The sequence below is a fragment of the Homo sapiens genome, chromosome 3 (assembly GCF_000001405.40).
Source record: "Homo sapiens chromosome 3, GRCh38.p14 Primary Assembly".
Classification (NCBI taxonomy): domain Eukaryota; kingdom Metazoa; phylum Chordata; class Mammalia; order Primates; family Hominidae; genus Homo; species Homo sapiens.
The window spans coordinates 168,140,040-168,146,852 of NC_000003.12; the positions used below are offsets into that span (position 1 = coordinate 168,140,040).

Here is a 6,813-nt window from a genome sequence, read left to right on the forward strand (position 1 = left end):
TGTACTTTGAGCTACCTAATGGGGCAGACATTCTTCCCCAAATATACAAAAGACAGGAAAGTACATACCATGTTCCATCTGGCTGGTATCCACGGGAAATGTAAACCAAGCCCACAGGCTAGTAACAAGCCTGACAAACTTGTTTGAGTCCCAGGATTTACTCTTTCAATGAAAACTATTAAACGATGGAATGTATCTTTGGCACAACATATGCATTTCTACTTCATTTTGTTCTGGCTTATTATTTATTATATGACTTTAAGCTTGATTTGAACTTGAACAGGATCAAATCTGGAGGCTCATAACCCATAAATATATTCACCTACTATGTACTCACAAAAATTAAAAATTAAAAAAATAAAATTAGTAAGAGTAAAATTATCTCAAAATAAAAATATCTGAAGGTTCTTTCAAAGTTTGAGGAGATGGAACTAACTAGAGTCATATATAATTACATAGTATCATATAGTCATACAGTATCCACTAACAGATTCAAATCCCAGCTCTGTCAAAACTAGGTCTGGCAAGCATAACCTTCTGACTCTCAGATTCTCATCTGTGAAATGAGATTTGTAACACCTTCCACAGAGTGTTACTGGATATTTACGACTCAAATATATTTGAAACACTTGGCAGATACTAGGAACTCAAAAAGATTTTTTGGGGACATCTTTTATCTTTTTTCCCTTTTTCCTTCTTAAAGTGACACAATACTCCTAATAATGTTAGATTTTCTGGTTTGGGGATTTTTTCTGCTTGCTGATCCTTATCTTTTTCTTCTTTTCTGAAGCTGAGTCCTATACTTGCTATTATTTTAGGTTGGGGCTGTCTTTTCTGCATTCTAACAACTCCCTAGGAGTTTAACATTTGTCATTAAAAAGCAATTGGCTTGTGGAAGAACTGATATGTTAGTGTCAGGAAAGGAGTTCTGCATCCTATTGTTAAAAGTATTTTTTGTATGTGCTAATGTTTATGCTGCACTGAGTTTCAATTCATATATTCTAGCTGGAGTATCTTTTTGTTATGAATTTTAATGCCAGAATTTTACCTTTTCTGAAATGGTACACGTACTACGTATTTTCAAAGTTATCACAGAGCAGTTGTGACATGCGAAGGCAGGAAAAGATGTTACTAGACAAATGACAAGTTAATTTTTTTCTTTCTTCTAATTTTGTCTCTTGGCTTATGAAACCTACATTTGCTTTCTCAATCTAAGGAAATACATCTTCTCTGTACAATTTTCAAGATTTTTTTAAAAAATTAGGGCTCTTGAACATATGGAACTGATAACCACTAAAACAAGTAGACTTATACAGAGTGAAACTGTAGTATTCATATATATTGCATTTATTATGAGTGCAGCATCATAATAAGGATTGCACATAAATTAACTTGTTCATTTTACGAAAGCCCTATCATCGGTCTATTACAGATAAGGAAGTTCAGGTACAAATATGTTAGAAAACGACTTGTCCAATGTCTTAGAAAAGTGTCAGGACCAGGATCTGAACCAGGCAGTCTGATGCTCAGGTTTACATTATCTGCTGTATTAGTCTGTTTTCACACCGCTATAAAGAGCTACCTTGAGACTGGGTTATTTATAAAGAAAAGAGGTTTAATTGACTCACAGTTCTGCAGTAGCCTACAGGCTTCCTGTTAAGGTAGGAGACCTAGCTAGGAGGCCTCAGGAAACTCATGGCAGAATGCAAAGGGGAATTGAGCAGGTCTTACCATGGCAGAGCAGGAGAGCGAAGGGGGAAGTGCAACACACTTTGAAACAACCACCAGATCTCGTGATAACTCACTCACTTTCACTATCATGAGAAAAGCAAGGGGGAAGTCTGCCCCATGATTCAATCACCTCCCACCAGGCCCCTCTGTCAACATGTGGGAATTACAATCCAGGATAAAACTTGTGTGGGGATACTGAGCCAAATCATATCATCTGCCTTATAATATGTGACATGAGGGCCAGGATCAGTCTCCATCTCCTAAAATTGTGCTGCTCAAAGTGCTGTCCTTGACCAGATGGTACCAGAAAGACCTTGGAGCCTACTAAAAATGCAGAATCTCAGGCCTACTCCAAGAGCTACCAAATCATGATTTGCATTTTAGCAAGATCCCCAGGTGAGAAGCATGAATGTTAATGTTTGGGAAGTACAGACCTAAAGTATTATTTCTGTCATCATATATATAATTTTTATATGATGCAGGGAGACAGAAATCGCAGAATTTTAGATTTTAAAGGGTTTAAGATTTAGAGAAAATATAGTTCATTTTCTTCCTTTTATAAATGTCCAAAACATATATAAAATGAGCCACATGGGCTGGTTAAATATATATTTAAGAATAAATACATATTTATAAATTCTTAATAATTTAATAAACATTTATTGAGGATTTGTCACCTGTCAGACTATATGCCAAGTGGAATGGGGCTACAAAGACATACAAATCATGCCCTTTGGGACCCCAGTGGAGGAGAAAAATAAGTATATGGAAATTACCAGTGTTATAATAAAATTGTATGCACATAGTGCATAATAGAGCCCACAGGAATGAGGATGGAATGGGTACCATCAAGGACATAATATTAAAGCTGAGTCTTGGAACATCAATAGGTGTTGCCCAAAGGTACTGGAATTTGAGCCTTTTCCCTTACAACTGGGCCAATCAACATGATGAGTTGGGAGAAGGAGCTATTTAGAGGAGTGGATTTCAATCTTGGATTCACATAGAATCACCTGGAGAACAATTTAGTTTGTTACAACTCCCTTGTGCTTTGTTTCCCTCTTACTTGTCTGTATCTCCGACCATTTCGTCCGGTTCCTGGCCTGTTTCTGCCCTGGACTCTAGTCATAAATAATAACTTGTTACCTATTGGATCTTGAACTAAATCTGACAGTAAATGCCTCATTCTTGTAATTCCCATGAGCACAGAGCACTGTTTCTGCAAATCCCAACTAGCTGTAATGAGACAGCTCACAATCAGGTAAGTTAGCATTAGAATAACCTTAGGTTAGGACTTCCTGATCTCTAATTAGTCTGCTGTGCTTTCCAATTTCTCCTTCAAAGTAAATCAAACATCAGAAGATTTTGCTTTACAATTTTGGTGAGCCTGATTTTTAAACTATTTTTCTCCTCTTAAAATTTGCATACGTTTGGGGATACAAGTGTAGTTTAGTTATGCATATATATTGTGTAGTGCTGAAGTCTGGGCTTTTAGTGTAGCCATCACCTGAATAGGGTACATTGTATCCATTAAGTAATTTCTCATCCCTCATCCCCTTCCCACCTTCCCAGCCTTCCCCAGCCTCCAATGTCTATTATTCCACACTACGTCCATGTGTACACATTATCAGCTCCCACTTACAAGAGAGAACAAGCAGCATTTGACTTTGTTTTTGAGTTCTTTCACTTAAGATAATGGCCTCCAGTTTCATCCATGTTGCTGCAAAAGACATGATTTCATTCTTTCTTATGTCTTGGTAGCATTCCATGTGTATTAGTCCATTCTCCTGCTGCCACAAAGAACTGCCTGAGACTGGGTAATTTATAAAGGAAAGATGCTGGCCAGGCACGGTGGCTCACACCTGTAATCCCAGCACTTTGGGAGGCCGAGGCAGGCAGATCATGGGGTCAGGAGATTGAGACCATCCTGGCTAACACGGTGAAAACCCGTCTCTACTAAAAATACAAAAAATTAGCTGGGCGTGGTGGCGGGTGCTTGTAGTCCTGGCCACTCGGGAGGCTGAGGCAGGAGAATGGCGTGAACCCAGGAGGCAGAGCTTGCAGTGAGCCGAGATCGTGCCACTGCACTCCAGCCTGGATGACAGAGCCCCCCAAAAAAGGAAAGAGGCTTAATTGACTCACAGTTCCACAGGGCTGGTGAGGCCTCAGGAAACTTACAATCATGGTGGAAGGGGAAGGAAACACATTGCCTTCTTCACATGGTAGCCAGAAGGAGCAAAATGAAAGCCAAGTGAAAAGGGAAGCCCCTTATAAAACCATAAGATCTTGTGAGAACTTACTCACTGTCACAAGAATAGCATGGGGGAAACTGTCCCCATGATTCAATTACCTCCTACCAGGTCCCTCCCATGACATGTGGGGATTATGGGAACTACAATTCATGATGAGATTTGGGTGGGGACACAGCCAAACTATGTCACCATGGTATAAATATATACCACATTTTCTTTAGTTAGTCATTCATTGACGAACACTTAGGTTGAGATCATATCTTTGCCATTGTGAATAGTGCTGTGATAAATGTATGAGAGCACGTGTCTTTTTTACATAATAACTTCTTTTCATTTGGATAGATATCCAGTACTGGGATTGCTGGATCCAATGGTAGTTCTACATTTAGGTTTTTGAGAAGTCTCCATGCTGTTTTCCATAGACATTATGCAAACTTACATTCCTACGAACAGTGTATAAGCATTCACTTTACTCCACATCTTTTCCAATGTCTTTCGTTTTTTGATTTTTTAATAGAAGACATTTTGACTTATGTAAGATGGTATCTCATTGTGGTTTTAATCTAAATTTCTCCCATGATTAGTAATGTTGAACCTATTTTTCATATGTTCATTGGCCAACTGTATGTCTTCTTTTGAGAAATGTCTGTTCATGCTCTTTGCCCACTTTTTAGTGGGACTATTTTATTATTATTGTTATTTTCATTGTTGAGTTGTTTGGGTTTCTTGTAGATTCTGGATATTAGTGCCTTATCAAATGCATATCTTGCAAATATTTTCTCTCATCTGCAGATTGTCTGTACATTCTGCTGATTGTTTTTTAGATTTGTGGAATTTTTTTAGTTTAATTAAGTCCCACTTGATGTTCCAGTACATGTTGAATAGGAGTGGAGAAAGTAGACCTTTTTGTCTTGTTCTTGTCTTGTTTCAGCTCTTAGGGAGAAACGCTTTCAACTTTTTCCCATTCAGTATGTTGTTGCCTGTGGGTTGGTCAAAGACAGGTTTTATTATATTGATGTATGTTCCTTCCATTTCATTTATTGAGGGTTTTATCATGAAGAGATGCTGAATTTTATCAAATGCTTTTTTACATCTATTGAGATAATCATATAATTTTTGTTTTTAATTTTGTTTATGTGGTGAATCACATTTATTGATTTGGGTACATTGAACCATTCTTGCATCCCTGCAATAAAATCCACTAAATGGTGTTGTCTTATCTTTTTAATGTACTCTTGGATTTGGCTTGCTAGTATTTTTTTTTTTTTTGAGGATTTTTACATCTATGATCATCAGGGATATTGGCCTATGGTTTTATTGTTCTTGTGTTCTTGCCCAGCTTTGGTATCATGGCAATACTGGCTTCATAGAACTTTAACACTATAAATTTCTCTCTTAGCACTGCTTTTGCTAAGAGAGAGGTTTTGCTGTATCCAGAGGCTTTGTTATGTTGTGTCTCCATTTTCATTTATTTCAAAAAAATTTTAGTTTTTACCTTAATTTCTTTGTGGACCCAAAGATTTTTCAGAAACGTGTTGTTTAATTTCTGTGTATTTGCATACTTTTGAGAGTTCCTCTTGGAATTGATTTCTAGTTTTATTCCACTGTAGTCTGAGAAGTTATTTGATAAAATTTTGATATTTTAAACTTTGTTGAAACTTGTTTTGTGGCCTGACATGTGGCCTATCTTGAAGAATTCTCCATGTGCTGATGAGAATTATATTCTTTGGTTGTTGTGTAGAATGTACTGTGTATGTTCAGTCCATTTGGTCTAAAGTCCAAGTCTAGTGTTGTCAGTTTGATGTTGAAGTTCTCCACTATTATTGTATTGCTGTCTATCTCTTTTCTTAGGTCTAGTAGTATTTGTTTTATGAATGTGGATGCTCTGGTGTTGGATGCATATATATTTAGGATTGTTATATCTTCTTGTTGAATTGATCCCTTTATCATTATATAATTTTTTTTGACTGTTGTTGATTTAAAGTCTGTTTTATCTGACGTAAGAATAGCTGCTTCTGCCAGGCTTTGGTTTCTGTTTTGTGGAATATCTTTTCTCACCCCTTTATCTTCAGTCTGTAAGTGTCTTTATCAGTAAAATGAGTTTCTTGTAAGAAGCATATAGTTAGACCATATTATTTTTATTTTTTAACTTTCATGCGTACCTAGCAGGTGTGTGTGTGTGTGTGTGTGTGTGTGTGTGTGTGTGTGTGTGTGTATAAAATTTGCTACAGGCATAATGTGTAATAATCATATTAGGGTAAATGGGGTATCCATCACCTCAAGCATTTATTATTTCATTGTGTTACAAACATTCCAATTATGTTCTTTTAGTTACTTTAAATTATACAATAAATTATTGTTGACTAAAGACCCCTTGCTGTGTTATCAAATACTAGATCACATTCATTGTATCTAACTATGTTTTTGTACCTATTAACTATACCCACTTCCCCCCCGACACCATCCTTCTCCCCTACTATTCCCAGCCTCTAGCACCATTTTTCTATTCTCTATCTTCATGAGTTCAATTCTTTTAATTTTTAGCTCCTACAAATGAGTGAGAAGATGTAAAGTTTGTCTTTCTGTGCCTTTCTTATTTAACTGGACATAATGTTCTCTGTTCCAACCATGTTGTTGCAAATGACAGGGTCTCTTTTTTTTATGGCTGAATAGCACTCTGTTACGTATATGTACCATTTTTTCTTTATGCGTTTGTATGCTGATGGACATTTGGGTTGCCTCCATATCTTGGCTATTGTGAATAGTGCTGGAATAAACATGGGAGTGTAGATCTCTTTTTGATATACTGATATCCATTATTTTGGGTATA

General features: G+C 36.8%; 1 annotated feature.

Moving 5' to 3' along the window:
- Positions 1,536-1,655: an enhancer, noted in NCBI's record as "active region_20775". NCBI's record gives its function as "activates an Ori minimal core promoter by ATAC-STARR-seq in GM12878 lymphoblastoid cells {active_cell/tissue: GM12878}" and the evidence as "EXISTENCE:reporter gene assay evidence [ECO:0000049][PMID:35858748]".